The 21,675-nt window shown below is 36.0% G+C and overlaps 1 protein-coding gene across 3 annotated transcripts in view; it reads left to right on the plus strand.

Moving 5' to 3' along the window:
- B3GALT1 (beta-1,3-galactosyltransferase 1) overlaps window positions 1–21,675 on the plus strand; it is a 581,045-nt gene that overhangs the window by 196,618 nt on the left and 362,752 nt on the right. For 2 of the 3 annotated variants that reach the window (XM_011512085.3, NM_020981.4), the window contains exon 2: window positions 559–659. The gene's annotated coding sequence lies outside the window, so the exon portion shown is untranslated. Of the gene's footprint in view, window positions 660–21,675 lie in introns of all 3 variants that reach the window. The other variant, XM_047446159.1, reaches the window with a different exon arrangement.

The following is a 21,675-nucleotide window of genomic DNA, read 5'->3' on the forward strand; positions in this document are numbered from 1 at the left end:
TTCACTGGCTCACGTCAGTATTATTATAGACTTGATGGGGTACTTTGGGATTTGGTAGGGATTTTTACATTAGAAAAACTTAGGCATAGGAGATTAGGAACCAAATGTGTTAGTTTATCATAGCAGAGTAAAGCAACAAGACAGTATTAAGGAAGCCACAGACAAGACTGTTTAGAACTAACAATATTCTACTTCTCTTGTGGAAATACTTGCTATTATAAGTGAGACCGCAGAATAAAATTAATGTCTGGGGAAAGTAAGCAAATAATTGTGGAAAATTGTTAAAATGACTTTATAACCAGTAAAGACATCATTTATTCAAAGACAGATGTCTTTGAATAAACGGATAAGGAGGAGATTATAATGATATAAAGGGAGAAAATTCCTTTTCAAATTAAGTGTTCCTCAAGTGCTGATTGTTTTGTGCAGAATAATTTGATGTAAGATATGTGGAAATTTTATGAACTGGTAAAAAGAGAATCTGAACAACTTGAAACAAAGTGCTAATGTCAGCTGAAGTGCCTCCAAAGTTACTCATATATTTTTCTTTCCTTTTAGACCCATTAGAAACGCTTCAAGAGCTGCTCAGTCCAGGAGTGGAGGGATTTTGTGAAGACACAGATGCTCCCTAAAAGGAGTGCAGAAATTTTCATCATAGGGTAATAGCCGATTCCTATTTTTGATTTGATAGTCTGAATATTTACAAAACTGTGATATAAAAATAGATGATATTATTCAAAATGTTAAGTATGCTCTGAATTTGCTTATAGCTTTGTAGTATTTCATGCTTTATACCTTTCATGTGAAATATGATCAGAAATAATTCCTCACCAAATATTGTCTTCACATTTGGAGTAGGATAATATGTAGAAACAAGAGTAATTGCAAAGCATCAGTCTAACCACTTTGGAATAGAAGCACCATTAGCAGAGATTGCAAGGTGTTTTGTCAGGCTTCTTGCCATGACACACATGGAAAATGGTAATATTCCTAGGATACACTGTGAGGGGGCTGCTCACAAGCAGAGATGACTGGCACTGCTGAGCAGCTCCAGGGCTGAAGCCTTGGCATCTTATTAGCACATCTGTAAACACTTGTGTTGGGGAGCTGTGCTGCTGAGCAATACAACCTTTCCTTTTGGAAAGCCCTACAGTGTCTGCTGCTTTTTATGCATGTCTATGATTGAAATCTGGACTTAGAGGAGTTTTTCTTAGGAAAAAATCAAGACATTGGGTTCTAGATTTTCAGTGGAAGTTAATTTTACCTAAAGATTGACCAGTATTCCTGATCTTGTGTCAAGAAACTTGAACTTGGAATCTTTTCCTTTTTCTTCTCCGTTAACAAAATGATAAAGAAGCTCTTCCTTAGAGGATCCAGGGGCACATCTCAATTCTGGCAGGATCCCTTGTTTTCTTAGGGTTCTGGAGAAATTTACACAAGACAAAATTTTGCCCCCAGGGTAATGAGAACTCCCCATAATCTGAGGTAGGTGTGTACTTTTAGGCCTCACTTCAATATTTGGACTAGGCCGGGTAACTCCTGATTCTGTTGTGTTAGTAGTCATTCAAAAAATGTTTAAGTGCTCAGCAGGTTCTGCACCTGACTCAAAGCCAGACTGAATATTGAAGAATTGTAGGTTTCAGGCTAATGGGGCCTGAACACTCTGTGGTATTTCTTCTGTACCTTATTCCAATATCATCACAGGTACCACCTCGGGAATAAGAAGTAACAACTGCGAAACCAGGGGTATCACCATAAAAGGCTGCAGTTACAGTTCTAGAAGTTGTCTCATCTGACCAGAATTGTAGTCTTTGTTTGGTTTGGTTTAATTTTAACAACTTCTGTGTCTTTGGTTTTACTTTTGCTTTTTTTTTTTTTTTTTCATTAACAGACTTTTTAAAGAGTAGTTTTATGGGCTGGGTGCAGTGGCTTACGCCTGTAATCCCAGCACTTTGGGAGGCCGAGGCGGGCAGATCACGAGGTCAGGAGATCGAGACCATCCTGGCTAACATGGTGAAACCCTGTCTTTACTAAAAATACAAAAAAATTACCCAGGCGTGGTGGCGGGTGTCTGTGGTCTCAGCTACTCGGGAGGCTGAGGCAGGAGAATGGCATGTACCCAGGAGGCGGAGCTTGCAGTGAGCCAAGATCACACCACTGCACTCCAGCCTGGGTGACAGAGCAAGACTCCATCTCAAAAAAAAAAAAAGTGATTTTATGTTTTCAGAAAAATTAATTGGAAAGTACACAGAGAGCTTCCACATAATCTTCTCGCTCAATCCACACTCAGTTTTCACTATTATTAACCTCTTGTATTAACATGGTACATTTGTTACAAGTGATGACTCAGTATTGCTAGAGCCTTATAAACTAAAGTCCATAGTTGCATAAGGTTTCAGTCTTTATATTGGATATTTCATGGGTTTTGACGCACATATAATGACAAATTTCCATTACTGCTGTATCACACAGAATAGCTTCGCTGCTCTAAAAATCCCACATCTTCCTCTGATTCCCTCTTCTCTCCCTCCACTGAAACCTGGCAATCTCTGATCTTTTTACTCCCTCCATAGTTTGACCTTTTCCAGAATGACATATAGTTGGAATAATGCAGTATGTAGCCTTTTCAGTTTGGCTTCTTTTACAAAGCAGTATGCTTTTAAGGTTCATCTATGTTTTTCTGTGGCTTAATAGCTCATTTCTTTTTATCACTGAATAATATTTCATTGGACGGATGTACCATAGTTTACCCATTTACCTAATGAAGAATATCTTGATTGTTTCCAAATTGGGAATTACTTTTTTAAGTCACTGTAAATATTTGTTTGCAGATTTTTGTGTGGACAGAAGTTTTCAACTCATTTAGGTATATACAAAGGAGTATTATGACTGGATCCAGTGGTAAGACAGTGTAGTTTCATAAGGAACTGCCAAACTGTATTTCAAAGTAGCTGTAACATTTTGCATTCCCACCAGCACTGAAAGAACCTTCCTGTTGCTTCACATTTTTACAAGCATTTGGTTTTGTCAATGCTTAGAGTTTTAGCAATGCTAATAAGTATGTTGTGGTTTTTCATGGTCTCATGTTCTAACATAATAAACTGTAAAAGAGAGTGTGACTGCCCAAAAGACTCTGAATTCTTAGCTACTATGAATTTTTTCAGTATGCACTTTGTAATAACAGTGATCAAGAATCTGAGGTTTTCCCTGACAGCACCAAGATTAGTGTGAGTTATATCCAAGTGTGTGTATTTAGAGATGTGTGTGTGTGTGTGTGTGTGTGTACCTAGTATTCTCTGTTATAGAAAGAGGTCATAATAGGCAAAGACTCTTTTAATAATACACCATTGAAATAAAAATATGCAGAAGATATAAAAGATTCTGGCTTGTTTAAATATGCATATTCTATAGATCTTGATATTAAAATAGGCCATGTTTGATGCTGTTCAAAGTTAGCTTTCTGGCATGAACTACAGTGTTACATATGAGGCACATCAAATTAGGCAGTATCAATTTTTGTATTCAGTTAAATTTGGCCATGCAGATATAGTCAAGAAAAGAGATTCTTCATGAGCCTTTCACATTATAGTCATTTTTCTGTATGTTTGATGCATGCTTTAGATTTGGTTATATTATTTTGTAAACCTTTCTGATGATACCAACTTCACTGGTAGAGGGCTACTTTCTCCAGTGTAAGGACCACTCCTCTAATATTTCCATTTTCAAATACATCAGAATGCCTGACACATTTATTTTGTGAATATATACAAAGCCCTACATCAGTTACTATAGAAATATTTTAACAAAGTTCCAAAGATACCAGACAAGCTTTATAATTTAAGAAAAAAATAGGTAAACCATTTCAAGCCATGCAAGTAATTTTGTGTGATGATCAAAACTAACTTCACAGGGTATGGATCTGGTTAAAAATTAAACAACTAACATTCTTATGCAGTTTTTATGTGCAAAGGAGAGTCTCAACAGTGACAGAAATGCAAAGATAAAATAGACATGTTCTCTATTTTCTATAAAAGACGGACTCCAGTGCAGGAGGGTTGGGTGGGGGAAGAAGTAGGATGATAAGAAGTGTGTTGGCATTGGAAGTACCTTAAATCTATGCTGCAGATTTGCTGATGACATGGTATATGGAATGCTGGATTTTCAAACATTAGTATACAGAAGAGTTTCTTTGGATCCTTGTTTAAATTTCATTTTCCTAGACTTCAGAACTAAATATCTGATTAATTTTGTAGTCCATGATTCTCCACTTTTATCAAGCTCCTCATGTTGTTGTATTACTGGTGATCTATAGGCTACACTTTAAGAAACTGATATGTACCAGTTACAATTTCTATCCCTTCAGTGTGGTTTATGTTAGAAGTACTCCTGAGACAGAGTAATAGGGAGATCTGGGCTAAATATAGGAAACCAAGAGAGTATGCCAACAAGATTGAGTAACTTTATGGCCCATTATAGTTGTATATATACTTGATTGCAGATTGTCCTAAGAGTCTGAAAATTAGAAAACAAACTCATTGGAGAGACTAGCAAAAAATTGTGTCTAAGATTACAGCATTTTTAAAAAAGAATGAAGTGTATAATTTTAAAATAGAATAAATATTTAATAAATAGATCAAATGCAATACAGTTGCATCTATATTCAATGAATTGTTTATATAAAAGATATCAGTTATGGGCGACAGAGTGAGACTCCTCTCAAAAAAAAAAAGATATCAGTTATGATATTTATATTTTAGGGAAAAAAATAAATACCTAAGAAGTCCAAAATAGGAAAATGATGAAGTAAGTTAGTACCCTCATTCCAATGGAATGTTATTTTCACTGTTTTAAAATATGACAACACGTAAGAAGTATCTAAAATAAAACTATGTCAAAGAAAAATGAGACTCTATAACTGTATGTTTGATATGATTATATCTACATAAAATAGCATATGTGGTGAAATTTCAGGTAGTTTTAATTCTAAAATTTTCCTAGATATTTTATGGTACTCACAAAATCAAATGTTAGGTTTTAAAATCTAGATGAGGCAAATTAATAATCACAAGCTTTAGTCATACGTTTTTAATTTTAAAGTAAATAATTTTAAAGTTGAAAGGTGTTTTGAGATTTCTCTACTTAATGAGCCCATGGTAAACTCTGTAAAGCAGTGATACCCATATCTGGCAAATTATCAGAATCATTTGGGAGACATTTTGAAAACATAGCTTTCTTACAAAAGCTAGACAAGTAGTTCAATTTCTTCAGAACTGACTTGGGGCCCTGGTATCTGATTTCTTTAAATGTTGTACCATTGGCTTTACTGATAAGGGAAAGATGACAACCACTGCTGTGGGGTAGACAATTTCTGTCTTCAGGAATTTCTGTAATGTATATGTATATGACAAAAACAAAAAGATAAGGTAAAATGTTGTCAAATTCTAAACTGTTTAATGTTTGTAACACAGTAAAGTACAGCAGAAATTCAGAGTAGAGAAAGCATAAATGAGGATTATTTGGGAGGGCCTTCTAGAACAATAATCTCATAAGCATTGGTGGCAGACGTAGGAATGCAGAAACCAAAAGCTTCATCATCATTTAACAACCTTCATGTTGATGGGAAGTGATGAGAAAGTGAAACTTTGATACACTTAGAGAAGGTGATGAAGAAGAGGTGCCATTTTGCTTTTTTCGCCAGCTTGCTTGCCTTTTTTTTTTTTTTTTTTTTTTTTGTGATGGAGTTTTGCTCTTGGTTTCCAGGCTGGAGTGCAATGTCACAATCTCAGCTCACTGCAACCTCTGCCTCCTAGGTTCAAGTGATTCTCCTGCCTCAGCCTCCCGAGTAGCTGGGATTACAGGCATGCGCCACCACGCCAGGGTAATTTTGTATTTTTAGTAGAGACAGGGTTTCTCCATGTTGGTCAGGCTGGTCTCGAACTCCCAACCTCAGGTGATCTGCCCGCCTTGGCCTTCCAAAGTGCTGGGATTACAGGCGTGAGCCACCGTGCCCGGCTTTGCCAGCTTTCTTACCAATCAAAAGTATAAGCCCTATACCCCTTCCCCAGAGTCCCAGATCTGTTCCTAGGCTTTTCCTTCCAGGTTTTATCCTAGCTTTGAGGCAAGGGATGCCTTCAGGGAAAAGATGGTGCTTAGAATTTTGGGATGGGAAGGCCTATGTAATCCATAAATCAATGTTTCGTATGGTGAAGGGAATGAAGGTGAGGAAAGGCACCTCAGAATATTTGTGGAAGACAAAACATTTATTATTAATGTTTATTAAAAGGAATTATGGCTTTTAAAAGGCATAGAATCAATCACAGAGCAAGTTAAACTTGAACCTTTAAATATAGGTACAATTTGCTTTTCCAGAACATGAAAGTAGAAGAAAGAAACATTTCAGTCATGGGACCACATGTACCTGAGTAAATCGGCCAAGTGTCTTTCTTCTGTGGTCTCGATTTCTTTTTTTAGTACAAATGTTGTTTAAGCTTTTATTCTTCCAGTTCATTTGCCTAAACTGACAGTAAATTATTTTTATCACACATAGGACCTAGGACTAGGAGGTCAACTATTTCTTAAATGAAAAAGTCAATACCAGCTTGGCTAAAGTTGACTGGGGAGTGGGTGCCCATGAGGCTGGATGTGATTGGTAGTCATACTGAGCAGGGCCTTAAGTTCCAGAATAAGGAATTTTGACTTGGCCTTACAGTGAAGGTTTCTGAGAAGGTTAATGAGAAGATAAATTTGGGCTTTGAAGAGGAAAATCAGCCAACAGTAAAGGAGATGGATTAAAGAGAAGAGTAGAAAGAAATGTAATTAGCATGCTAATTGGCTAATTACCGTGAGAAGAAACTTAGACTAGGCTGTTGGCAGTGAAAAGAGAAAGAAGGTAGTGGATATTATAAGGAAGTTTTTAAACTCAATTAGGGTAATAGTCATTGATTACCTTCAAAGTGCCAGTCACTGTTCTAGGCCTTTGTGACATCAGTGAACAAAATAAAGCATATTCTATCAGGGTGTTACGGACTGAAGTTTTGTATCCCCCTCAAAATTCCTGTGTTGAAATCCTAACTCTCAGTGTGATGGTATTAGGAGGTGAAGCCTTTGGGAGGTAATGAAGTCATGAAGGTAGAACCCTCAGGAATGGTATTAGTGCCTTTATATGAAGAGGCCAAAGAGCCAGTTCCCTCTCTTTCTACCACATGAGGATATGATGAAACATTGACACTCTGTAACCCTGAAGAAGGCTCTCACCAGAACCCAACCATGCTGGCACCCTGATTTCAAACTTCCAGCCTCCAGCACTGTAGAAGTACATTTCTCCTTGCGATAGTTAAATGATGAGTTAATGGGTGCAGCACACCAACATGGCACATGTATACATATGTAACAAACCTGCACGTTGTGCACATGTACCCTAAAACTTAAACTATAATAAAAAAAAAGTACATTTCTGTTGCTTATAGGCCATCTTTTAAATGATATTTTGTTATAATAGCTGGAACTAAGAAAATGGTAAACAAAAAGAGCAATATCTAATAAAGAGAATTAAGAATGTATAATGTGAATTTAGAACTGTTGTACAAAAATACAAAGTTGAGCAGAGGAAGGGAAATGAGGGGGGATGGGCAACGGTTACAGTATTAAATATGATGGTTAGAAGAGTCTCCATGAAGCGGGAGGTATCTGAGCAAATATCTGAAAAAAGTGAATGAGCTAGTATCCTAAGGGAGAGTATTCCAGACAGAAGGAAAAGGAAGTGCCAAAACTCCAAAGTGGGAATATGCCAAGGGTGTCTCAGCAAAAGCCACATTTTAAATTTTAAATCAATCTTTAAGCAAGATGCTCAATTGTACCGATCACCAACTACTAAAATAGAGGATTTTTTCTGGGAAAGGATGTTCCTTCTTAGAAGTTCTGCTTCAGGCTAGATTGAATTGGGACAAAAGAGATAAAAAGAAGAGTTATTAAGGAGTCAGCCTTGAGCCATGCCCATAGCTAAAGAACCTGAGGGAGATTGGAGAAGTCAGCAAAACCAGGATTGTGCCTGTCCTTGAAACTATATGAAGAAGGCTTGGCTAAGAAAAGGAGACTCTGAGGTGACAAATGCAACAAAAAGATTAGGAAGAAGAAAGACTGGAGAAACAAGAACCCAGGGCTTACAGAGGCCATTGATGACCTTAGAGAGAGGCCATTGATGGAGAGCACAGGATTCCCAAGTACCCAACATCTCATGTTTTCTATACTAGATACAGTGAAAAATCTGTACTTTTAAGAATTAGTAGTATACTAACCAAGGAGTATATGAGTTTTCAACTACCTGTTAAATATTAACAATGTTTTGAAATCTGTCTTTGGTTAAAAAAAAGTGCCAACAAGTTTGAAAGCCTAAAGTTAAATGTGTTAGGCTTCATACTTAAGGTGTATGCAACTTCTGTTCCGTTTTGCTCTTACCATCTGCTCTGATTTTATAACAAAGCCCAGTACTGACATGTTGAAGAACTGAGGTCTACACACGCTTTGGCAAAGTGATGTTGCAGGATTGCTCAATTTACAGAAATTCCCTGGCCTGAAGTATGGCTTTTGTCAGGTCATCACCAAAGCTTGTGCTTTATTAATGTATCAAGGCTTTTTATAGGACACGTTGATTTTTTTCATTCAAAAACCTGGAAGAAACACATGGTTATAAGATTAAGAATGGAGCCTGTCAATTGAGAGTCTCTTCAACAACTCCTTATTGGATTTTTTTAAGTTCGTAAGAATTAAAATGTAGCAATAAGTAATAACTCAGTATACTTCTAATAGAATGTTAATAAAAAGGTATGCAAAAATCAGGGATTTATGAAATTGGTACAGTAAGCTTTGTTTCCTGCTTTCTCTGCCATGACCTAAAATTCATTTTTTAAAATATCTTTCTATGTTATGTAGCAAGCATACCAGAAAAAGTACTTTGAAAGAAGTAGGAGATCAGACATTTAAAGAATGGGAACAGATCTTAATGTAAGAAAAGAGGCGGGCTTGTTATTCTGGGAAACAAATTGAGAAAGTGTATTAAAGTTGATGTGATAGATGGTAGGAGTCATCTGGAATTTCAGGATTAGTTATATGGGACGTTCTGAAAAAGATGCAATTCATATTCCAAGTCAATTCTTTGCCCCCATTCCCTTTCTTCTCCTTGCAGATCCCCATCATGCTGCCCCTATTAAAAACCACTGTCAAGAAAGGACCCACTCTCAGTCTTTTATAACTTCCTAACTTCATATGAATTTAAATCAGTGTGTTACTTCTCTGAAGAGTGTTTACATTTTCAACAGGAAAAGAGGCTGGTATCTCCATTTAAAATAATTACAAAAACAGCCTGCTTGGTCTGTATGTAAGACCTGGGGAATTTTGTTGGTCGTTTTTTGAGTTGGTGGTTACACTTTTATATTTATTTTTGCTTCCATTTTATATTAAAAGAATTCTGTAGTTCCTGTAATTGCAACATGATGAGATTCTCATTGCTTTTAATTAACCTGCCTTTTTCTTTCTCAACTCCACAATTAACTTGGCTAAATTTGTTAGCAAATGAAAAATTCTGACTGCGTTAGTTGCATGTTGATTTTACTGTCTACTATTTGATACTTACATCATTATGTTTTAAATGAAACAAATCTTAAAATCAGGTCTAGATTTTATATTCTGTGATAAAAATCACCACATTTTCCCCTAAGGCATTGCCCCAGAAATGATTTTTTTAAAAGATAGCACTATTGGTTTTATTTCTTGGAAGGGAAAAAATGTCAGTCAGAGTAGTAAGGTAATGATCCAGTTTATTTGGTACTATGAGACTCAAGGATTTAGCAGTAAAACGAAATCTTTGTTAAAGAAAAAATAAGCATATCATATTAAGAGGAAGAGAATTGAATTTCTATATTTGATGGCAAATCTGGCAACACTAGAAGTGGTTACCTAAAATTAAAAGCCTTTTACAAACTTTTTATTTCAACTAGTCACTGTAATTGCATAAAAAACAGAAATCTTAATTTTTATAAGCACAGAAATATGCATGGATTTTTCCCCCTTCCACCGTCCCCACCAAATCCATAAGATGTATGCTTGATACAAGCAGAGTTAGAGAGAACATAACACTTAGGAAACACCTCAGTGCCCTACATTAAAGACAAAATAAATTACAGTTCTTCCTTTCCCCAGTAAAGAGCAACAAAATAACAATGTAGGTAGAGGAAATAAGTGAGCCAACTGAGAGTATGTGGCTGGGCTGGAATCTGGAGATACCACAGTTAAATTAACTTGATTTTCCTTTCTACTACTAGAAGTTTAAGTAAAATACTGGCAGGTCAGGGGTGGTGTGTGTATATGTGTCCTGTGTGCGTGTGTGTTTGTGCATGCGAGAGAGACAGTCCAAGAGAGATAAAATGGCCTTTGTTCCTTTGAAAACATCATTTCACCTTCTTGGTTCTGAATTTTTCTGAGAAAAACATCCAGTTAATGTCACAATAGCCTCACAGGAACAATTTCCTAGTCCCTGGTAAAAGCCTATAAGGACTCTCAGGATAGAAGATGCAGTTTTGCAAAGGAGTTCTCAACCTCTGTCAATCTTAATTGAACAAATTGAAAACCAGATGGGCTTATTTATCGAGACATAGGTCCCAAAAGGCAAGAAAATTTATTTAGAAATTATTAAAATGCTAGTCAAATAATGACCAGACAATTACAGGTTGATATTTTTCAGTGGCACTTCTTCTAAAACATGGGTTCAATGTGACCAGTTTTATATCACCACTTTAAATGATAACTAATGAGAAAAAAAATTGTGTGGGGGTGTCATTGAAATGATCTTTGCAGCAAATTCTCTTCCTTTGTATTTGTTCTATGAATCGGGGGACTGGAGTTGGCACTCCTCTCAGTTTGGCCATATCCAGATTTTCTGGTTATGTTCTTCCCTAGAGTAACCGCAGATAGATAAGAGGCTCTGTGCTACACAAGGATCTCAGATAGAACTTGACTTATAAGGAAAAAAAAAATGCACATATTGTGCTCATTATTAAGGCAGGAGTGTTTGCCTATTGCTATATTTTTATGAGCATCAATAAGTCTTTAACGATGAATATTACTAATCATCTTTTGGCTAATGTTATTGAGACTTTCAATTCATGTGCTAAATTACTTACTCCTGGGGTAAGAGTAGAAAAATCTTTGGAAGAATGATTAATGGGAAGAAGTTGGTGCCAATGAGGTAATTAATTATTGGTTATTTAATAACCTTTGATTGTTAGAACCATAATCCTTTACTGATAGCAAGTCTACCATACTATCTGGGATAGTGAGACCATTAACTATAAATTGGATAATTTGGCTTTTTTTCATTGGTTTGCTGTTAAATTCCTAGAGTAGAACAATAGAGAACCCATTTAAAATAGACATTTAACGAATCAATGAGACAACCAACTTCAGGATGTATTTTAATAAATTAAAATACAGCCATAATAAAAATGACTATTCTTTTAACTAACCGTATAAGATGTTGTGTGGTAGAAGTAAATGGAAATGGACTTTGAATTCACAAATCCAGAAAACTCTTTAAAGTGGGTATGTTGAACTCCTAATTGATTTTTATTAGTATGATTGGGGCAAAATTTGTTTTTTTCTTTCTGATTGTGTATTATTAAATAGCAAATGAAAGCAAATAAAAAATGTGTATTAACTCAGTATTTAAAAATATATTAATATCACTTTATAATTTTAAATAATTTGGTAATGTTTTAGCTATAATAATACATAAGATGTTCAATTGCAATTCCTAGTGTTCAAATCTCAAGTTTTCAGTTGCTTCCACTTAAGCTTTTAAATATGCTTTTTAAAAAAATTTCTGATTTTTGTTTAAAGTTTAAACTTAAAAGACAGCAACAAAACCAAGATAAAAACAATACATTTTATTTACAAAACACAAAAAAGATTTTTATCATTATGAAACAATTTGCATTAGACTTCTAGTTGTAATGTAAATATAAAATCAATTTGGTCATTTCCAAATTTTGAAAACTTTTTGCTCCTAAAAGCAGTTCTCAGAAATGTTAATTCACACATCTACAGTGGCAAAAAAAAAAAAAAAAAAAAAAAAAGTCAGTGAGGCTGAGCAACCATGGGGCTACTCTTGGAGTAATTAAATACCTTGAACTTTATCTTGAAGTACCTACTTGTTTCTCGGCATTAAGCCTTTAAAGTAGTGTTGAGTTTGAGACAAGTACATGAATGAATTGCATATGACATTTATGGCAAGACTTTGTGTCTCATTTCTGTTTTACACTCTTTAAAGTGTTAATTCATTTCATGTTTTAAGCATATTAGTGAAATAACTGTAAATGAAGTCTTACATAACTTCTACATCCTATTTTTATCTCTTTATAATGGAAACGAAAAATAAAAGACCATGGTGGTTCGTTCATTCATTTAACAAATATTCACTGAAAGTTTCCTGAAAGGCACTGGACAAGCTATTAAAAGTTTACATTTTAGTAGGGCAGATATGCATTAAACAAAAAATTTCACCAATCTTTCCATAGTTATAATTATGAGAAATGCGATAAAGAAAAGAACAAGGTAAGATGAGCAAATATAACAGAATGCCTTTTGACTAGCCTCTGACATAGTCAGAGGGGTGACTCCCCAGGAGAAAGATCAGTGAAAGTAAGGGGAATATCCAAAGAAAAGCAACCACAATATTCTAGGGATATATTCACTTGGATGCTTTCTGAAAAAACCTGTAGGACCACAAATGTATAGGATTTTAATTATTACTTGTATTAGTCTGTTCTCACATTGTTAGAAAGAACTACCTGAAACTTATAAAGAAGTTTACTTGCATCACGGTTCCACAGGCTGTACAGGAAGCATAGCTGGGGAGGCCTCAGAAAACTTACAATCATGGAGGAAAGTGAAGAGGTAGGAGGCACATCTTAAATGGCTGGAGCAGGAGAAAGAGAGCAAAGGGGGAAGTGCCACACACTTTTAAACAACCAGATCTCATGAGATCTCACTCACTATTACAAGAACAGCAAGGGGGGGATCCACCCCCATGATCCAACCACCTCCCACTAGGCCCCTCTTTCAACATTGGGGATTAAAATTTGACATGAGGCCGGGCACTGTGGCTCACGCCTGTAATCCCAACACTTTGGGAGGCCAAGGCAGGTGGATCCCTGAGGTCAGGAGTTCGAGACCAGCCTAGCCAACATGGTGAAACCCGGTCTCTACTAAAAATACAAAAATTAGCTGGGCATGGTGGCAGGCGCCTGTAATCTCAGCTACTCGGGAGGCTGAGGCACGAGAATCACTTGAACCTGGGAGGCAGAGGTTGCAGTGAGCCGAGATCACGGCATTGTACTCCAGCCTGGGTGACAAGAGCAAAACTCTGTCTCAAAAAATATATATAAAAATAAAAAATAAATAAAATTCGACATGAGATTTGAGCAGAGACACAAATTCAAACTGTATTATTACTTTATGACATATAAACTATTTCATGATACTTTTAAAGTTAAGATTATTGACACACTGAAACATCTTAAATTTTCCCTTCATTTCTACCCAATCATGGACTCACTCAACTATTATAAAAATTATTACAAGCAGTGAATATACCTGACAGGTATTTATGGGTGACTTTTTGAGAAAATTTCAAGGGTGCATATACTTTAAATCAGTATCTACAGAGTGTCTGGCTACCACAAGGATTCCCTTCACCTGACCAACAGCCAGGCTTATGCTGGTTCCTGAACACTGGCAAAAAGTGAAAAAGCTTACTGTTAAGCTTTCATCTTGTTAGACTAAAGCCTCCAATAACTGATGTATTTTATGAAATAATGTCAAAATAAAGAAGCTTAACACTAAAAACTCTTTACAGTAAATGTGATCGCCAACCTACATTTCCAGCATCATTATCCACTACCTGCTGACACAAATTCTACGTTTTGACCAAACGTACTCTTCCCTTGAGTATTGCATTTCCAAGAAATTTCCCTCAACTAAAATGCCCACTCAATTTCTCTTCTTGAACAGCTTATTCATTCTTCATATCAGCACTGACCACCTCACTCCAGAGCACTCTTTTTCTAAATTGCAATTTTAAAAATCACAGGAGGTCTCTAATGCCATTCCATATTCCTTGATGCCCATCCACTTGCTAACACTTATGAAATGGTCATTGCCTTCATTGTATTAAAATTTCAAGTGCAATTTGTTATCTTTGCTGTATGCATGGATTCCATTTACACACTAGACCCATATATTTTCTTATATTCTAGGTGTCTTTTTTGCTTCAAATTCCTTTCTAGCTTTTCTTTAAATCCTTACTTTGCCCATCTTCAGTGCTGGGTTGGTAAAGGAGACAGAAACTTAACAATATCCACCAAGCAACAGAACTACCACATCAACACCAAGAACTTCCTGGCTTCCTGGGCAGATATGCAGTGGGCACAATTTCATAACAGATTAATTGCTACCAATCATGAAGAAGTTAAAATACTCTCAGAATTTAGAAGGTATACTTGATCACATTGAAGTTTTGTAATTCTGTGCCAAGCCCATAGATTGAATGTCTTCTATTATTTAGTTGGCCTTGTTTACTTAGTGGTAATCATTTCCTGAGACTGTACAGAACATTAAATTGGAATGGATACAATTCTAGCCTAGAGTCTATAGCCTAGAATTAGTTATAAGTAGCTCAAGATTACATAGTGTATGCAATTATATGTCACCCATGAAAACAAACACTACCCAGTTTTCAGGATCTCAAAATAAATCACCTCAAAGGTCCTGCTTTGATCTGTTTTGTGATTGGGTTGCATGGGAAAGCAAATTATAGGACTATGTGACCATGAAAATGCCTCTTTTCCCTTTAACTAGTGATAAATAAAAAGTGAAAAGAAAATTACTTATCAGAAAGGAGTAGCATCCTTCAATCTTCATTGATAGCTGACTGATTAATGAAATGATGCATCTGTGCAACATAACACAGTCATACACTGCATGACAGTTTGGTCTTTGATAGCTGTATATATGATGGTGGTCTCACAGATTATATTTTTACTGTACCTTTTTAATGTTTAGAAATGTTTGAATACACAGATACTTAGCATTGTGTTACAATTGCCTATAGTATTTAGTACAGTAACATGCAGTACAGGTTTGTAGCCTAGGAACAACAGACCATATCATAAAGCCTGGATATACAGTAGGCTATTCTATCTAGGTCTATGCAAGTACACTCTATGATGTTTGCTCAGTGACAAGATCACCTAACAATGCATTTCTCAGAATGTGTCTCCATTATTAAGTGATGCATGACTATATGTACAGCCATAAAAGAGAATCAGTGTATAGTTCTGTATGTATTGATATAGAGAGATCTACAAAATATATTAAGTGAACAGAGCAAGGGCAGATCAGCATGTATGATATGCTACCATCTGTATAATAAATACAAAGGAATATGGGTGAATCTATGTATACAAAGGATGTATTGGGAAGATTACACAATGGGCTGGTTATGCTGGATATCTTTGGAGGGTAGTGGAGCTGATTAAAATGAAGAGATGAGAAGAAAATTTTTCACTTAATCCACTTTGTATCTTCTAAATTTTGAACCATGTGGATGTCTTAACTATTAAAAAGTAATCTTTAAAAATTTTTAAATAGAAATAAAAGGGGAGGAACAAAAGAAAGGAGTATTTTTAAGTGTGATAGAGCCAGTGTAGGTTTTCTAAAAACAATAGACTTGTGTGAAGCCTATAACAATCTAAAAAACATCTTCAAAGCGCCTCTTCTTGATATTAACACTCACAAATTTATCAATGGCCAAGTTACAGAAATGTGATTAGAGACTCTAAGGAGAAAAGACTCTAAGGAACAGGTAAATTATTTCCTACGTGAGGGCATGAAAGTAGATATTTGGAAAGCTTATGCAGTTGATCATGAGGTGTTCAGTGTATGTGGAGTTTGAGCACATACTCAAGACATGTTGGAGAGCTACCTAGAAATCATTGATACCCTGTTCACAAAAATGTATTTTAGATCCAAGTGGGAAAAAAATAATACAACTGGGAAAAAAATCTAGACTCTTTCTACTGAGTAAATGATCTTAAAGACACAGATACTAGGCCCAGCACAGTGACTCACACCTGTAATCCCAGCACTTTGGGAGGCTGAGGCAGGCAGATCACTTGAGGCCAGGAGTTCGAGACCAGCCTGCCCAACCTGGTGAAACCCTGTCTCTACCAAAAATACAAAAATTAGCTGGGCGTGGTGGCGGGCTCCTGTAGTCCCGGCTACTTGGGAGGCTGAGGCAGGAGAATCACTTGAACCCAGGAGGTGGAGGATGCAGTGAGCCAAGATCGTGCCACTGCACTCCAGCCTGGGTGACAGAGCGAGACTCCACCAAAAAAAAAAGACAGAGATACTAATTCTGTTCATTCATGGTTCAAGCAACACAACTCTATGATGTCTTTCCTTATACCCCAAAGCAAATGTAGATTCTCCCTCCTCTGTATACCAACAGCAAGCATTGCACACCTCTGTTTTCATATAAGTCGTGCTGCCCCTGCTGGCAGATTTTTTGATGTGATTGTTGTCTTTAAAGACTCTTTATTTTTCACCATTGTATCAATGGCATATAATAGAGTACAATGTGTAGAGATTTAATATCTGTTCAATGAATGAATGACTTTGAAGCAAAAAGGAGACTATCTAAAATTAAATACTTCTTAAAAAGATGATTTAGAATACAATTTGGTTTTGTGAAAAGTAGATTACCACCCTAGAAATAGAACTTATGGCAAATAAAGTGAATGCTTAGGGAAAAGTGTTATGTAGGAAACTCGATGAGCTGATAAAGAAAACTTTAAACTTTGTGGGGTGAGGAAAGAAAGAAGTAAAACCACATACTATGATTTATGACAAACATTACATATACTCAGTCATTCAGGCATGCAAGTGCTAGTATTTCTGGGAGGTGAATAAGACTTAGAATTTACAAGGGCCTTATATTCTAATACAGGAGACACATTATGCAAATAAATATCCACAATATAAGTAGCATGTGGCATAATACACACATAGATAAAATAATCATGTTGCTTGGCCTTCAAGTATGAGTTGGATTTGGATTTGGATGGTGGAGAAAGTTAATCCATGCAGGGGAATTAGAACAAGTGTATGGGTGAATGTTTAATGGTATACATTGCAAACATCAAATTTCATTGACTGGAATGTAACATGTATAAAGTGAGTGAGTAGAACATGAACCCTAAAAGATTAGGTGGGACAAGACTATGGAAGCCTTACATACCCTGCTATCACTCTAAGAAGACTCTATTCAATAGAAAATGGAGAATCATTAAAAGTTGAAGGGCATGATTATAGTGTGTTTTGTCAAGACTAAAACCGTAAAACTGACATAAAAAAGAATAATAGAAAGTTTGCCAAATATTTCTTAAAAAAATACATTATTAAGAGAATGTGGTTCTGCCACAAGAACAGAAAGATGAGTGGAATAGAGGAGAAATTCCAGTAACAGATCTTGGTGAATATTAAAAAGTAGAATAAGAGGGCGGGTGCAGTGGCTCACGCCTGTAATCCCAGCACTTTGGGAGGCCGAGGCAGGTGGATCATGAGGTCAGGAGATCAAGACCATCCTGGCCAACATGATGAAACTCCATCTCTACTAAAAAAATACAAAAATTAGCTAGGTGTGGTGGCACGCACCTGTAATCCCAGCTACTCAGGAGCTGAGGCAGGAGATTCACTTGAACCAGGGAGTTGGAGGTTGCAGTGAACCAAGATCGCGCCACTGCACTCCAGCCTGGAGACAGAGGAAGACTCCGTCTCAAAAAAAAAAAAAAAAAAAAAAAAAAGTAGAATAAGATAAAGGTGGTATTAAGAAAAGAATAGTTGGAATGAAAATAATTTTTTACTGAAACTTAATGGATCAAATGTTTATTAACTTGGGGGAAAATTACACTAATATATATTAGTAGCTAACCAACACCAAGAGACAGATACGTATTGTGAAGGGATCATGAAACTATGTGCATAAAGCCCTTAGTTATTATATTTGGTAATTGAACATTTACCTTACTTAATTTGTCTTAACATTGTAAGACAAACCATAATTGTCTTAACATTGCAAGACAAATCATAATTGTCTTACTAATGACAAAACCTTGTACTTAGTGAATGTCTTAGTTCAGGCTGCTGTAATGAGGTGCTATAGACTAGGTGGCTTATCAACAACTGAAATTTATTTCTTACCATGCTGGAGGCTGGAAGTCCAAGATCAGAGTGCCATCATGGTGGAGCCTACTTTCAGGTTACAGACTGCCGACTTCTCTTTGTGTCCTCATGTGACAGAAAGAGCAAGAGAGCTCTCTGGGAGTCCCTTTTATAAGGACACTAGTCCCATTTATGAAGACTCCACTCTCAGAACTCTAATTCACTTTCAAAGCTCCACAACCTAATACCATCACATTGGGGTTAGGATCTGAAGGTATGAACTTTAGGCGGACATAATACATTCAATCCATTTATTCAAAATAGTTCTTACTTCACAGATGTTTCTTTCTTTCTTTTTTATTTTTATTAATTTTTTTTTTTTTTTTTCAGACGGAGTCTTGCTCTGTCACCCAGGCTGGAGTGCAGTGGCAGTGATCTCGGCTCACTGCAAGCTCTGCCTCCCGGATTCACACCATTTTCCTGCCTCAGCTTCCCAAGTAGCTGGGACTACAGGCACCCGCCACCACTCCCGGCTAATTTTTTATATTTTTAGTAGAGACGGGGTTTCACCGTGTTAGCCAGGATAGTCTCGATCTCCTAACCTCGTGATCCACCTGCCTCACCCTCCCAAAGTGCTGGGATTACAGGCGTGAGCCACTGCACCTGACCCAGATGTTTCTTAATAGTGTTTTCTCAGTCAATGAATACTAAAAGTTATGCTCTAAAATTGAACTTTTTTTTTAGAGTTTCTAATACTCAAATTTTGGAAATGACTGGCATACACCAAAATGTGTTAAAAGTATTAAATAGTTTAATACAAAAATGAAGTTATTACACAATTGGGAGATGATACATAGTAAGTACAATTTATTTTCTAAACTTTTCATAAAAAAAAAAGAAAGGAAAAGTTTGGTAGAATTTAGCAAACACACATTCAACTTTCTGTACACCAAGTACACCAAAATAAATTCAAAGGTACATGACAAATTGAAGAAAAATGCATTGGCAGATTGTCATTAACATGTTTACATAGGAATTTAATATGTTTATTTTTTTCCTTTTCCAATGGGTTAAGGGAGAAAACAGATTGGGCATCTGCTGCTAACCCTTTTGTTCCCAAAGAGTCAAGATAAGTTTCAGGATTTTGACCTTCACGACAGGAAGGATGGATGTCAATTAACTGAGAAGAAGTGAGAAGAGCAGTCCCTTTGGAGCAAAAATACATTGCAATTTAAGAAAGATTTAATAGCATTCTTATGCAGAGAGTTCTTACTAAGCAATAGTAGAAAGTTAGCACATAGGAAAAGAAATGAGCCAAGTCATAAGTAATTAATTTAAAATAAAGTAAAATGGCTAATAGACATATAACAAAATTGACCCTCATGCATAGTAAATATCAAATGAAATGACACATATGCATTCAGCACTTACTGTGTATCAGGCACCTTTGTAGAATCTGGAAACAACAAATAATAATAAACAACAAATAAAAATTTTCTGGTTTCAGGAGCTTAACACTAGTGGAAGGAGACTATATATATACATATGTGTGTGTGTGTGTAATAAATAAGGAGACTACATAGGTATTTTAAAGGGTGATAATTGCTAAGGGGGAAAAACAACATAGGTAAGATGAATAAGAAGTATTGGAGGTAGAATTGCAATTTTATTAAGATGGCCGAAGAAGCCCTTTTCTTAAGTCCTGAAGTAAATTAGACAGTAAACAAGCCATGCAGAAATCCAACTAAAAGCATTAGGAGGTACAAAGACCTTGACACGAGAGAATGCCTGGCATGGTCAATGAGCAGGACATTCAGTGTGGCTGGAGCAGTGTGAGTTAGGGGAGAGGAATGGAGGATGAGATCAGCAACGTTAAGGGGAAAGACTTTGCAGTTCATTGAAAGGAACTTGGCTTCAACTCAGAGAGATGGGAAGCATTTGGAAGGTTTAGAACAAAGGAATGACGTGATCTGTTTACATTGTTAAAGGATTTATTACTCTGGCTGCTGTGTAGAGAATAAAATGAAGGAAGTTGAGAGCATTTGGAAAACAAAAGAAAGTGCCAGAGAGAGATGAGAATGGTGTACTGAGAAGCGAGAAAAGTAGGAGACAAGCAGATATGATTTGAAATCCAGTAGTGCTGAGTATTAGATGTTGAAAGATAAAATTAAAAGTCAGATCATCAAAGCAGACTCACAATGAATTATAGGTCTTACCCAATATCAAATTTGCCAATAAATTATGGATACAAGTAGTAGTCAGACACGAGCCAAGCATTCTTCCCTTTGAAAGGTGTAAAACCATCAGGTGTAACTCTCCATAAAATGTCTTCTTCATGTATGAGGACATGCTCTGGTTCAAATTTAACATGAGAGATTAAGAAATATATGTGATACATTGCTTGCACAGAATGAGTCATTTCAGTTATGAAGCATCTTCTTGTTATATTTTTTTAATTACATAATTTATGTGATTTTTTAATGGAACCATGCCTTATAAATTCATGATTGCAAGTTTTGTTTTTTTTTTTTTTTTTTTCCAGCCTAAGTTATCCTAGACTAGACCAGATACATCCTGCTAAAAGCATTCCATAGATAAGAACTCCCCACTAGTAAATACTATTTGTATGTTTGGTAGGATTGTGATTGGCATGTTTACAGAGGAATCTAACTGGGTTATCTCATTCTTTCCCAGATGTGTTACAAAGGCAAACAAATTGCAAGCCTGCTGCTAACCTTTGGCTTCCCAGAGTATCAAAGATGATTTTCAGGGTTTTCACCTGAAAAACAAGAAAGATGGAATTGTCATTAACTGTGATGGTAAAGACAGGAAGAAGAGCAATTCCCGTGGAGTAGAAGTATAGGAGCTCAATTTTGCACAGTTTAAATTTGAGATGCAAATTAAAGCATTCAGGTGGAAATGTCAGTTAGATAATTAACTTTATGAATTTGGAATTCAGGGAGATATCTGGAGTATAGGTATAAATATGGGAATCATTAGCATATAGACAATATTTAAAGCTATGAGATGGGATGTGATCATCAGGTGAATGAGACTAGATAAAAAATGTAAATTAAAATAGCAATATTAGAATCAATAAAAAAAGAGAAAGTAAAATATTAATCATGATCCTTAGTATGTGCATACTATTTCAGTTAGAAATTTCCATTTCAGTAATTTGCTCTATGGGATAATCATGGATATACAGAAGGATGTTTGTTGTAGTGTTTGTTTTCTTTAATAAGGAGATATTGAAAACAGCCAAATGAGAGAAAATAGTTAAATTGTGTTCATTCATCCATTAAGTAATTAAAACGATATGGAAAATGATATGATTTGGCTGTGTCCCCACCCAAATCTCATCTTGAATTGTAGTTCCCATAATCCTCATGGGAGGGACCAGAT

The sequence above is a fragment of the Homo sapiens genome, chromosome 2 (assembly GCF_000001405.40).
Source record: "Homo sapiens chromosome 2, GRCh38.p14 Primary Assembly".
NCBI lineage: Eukaryota > Metazoa > Chordata > Mammalia > Primates > Hominidae > Homo > Homo sapiens.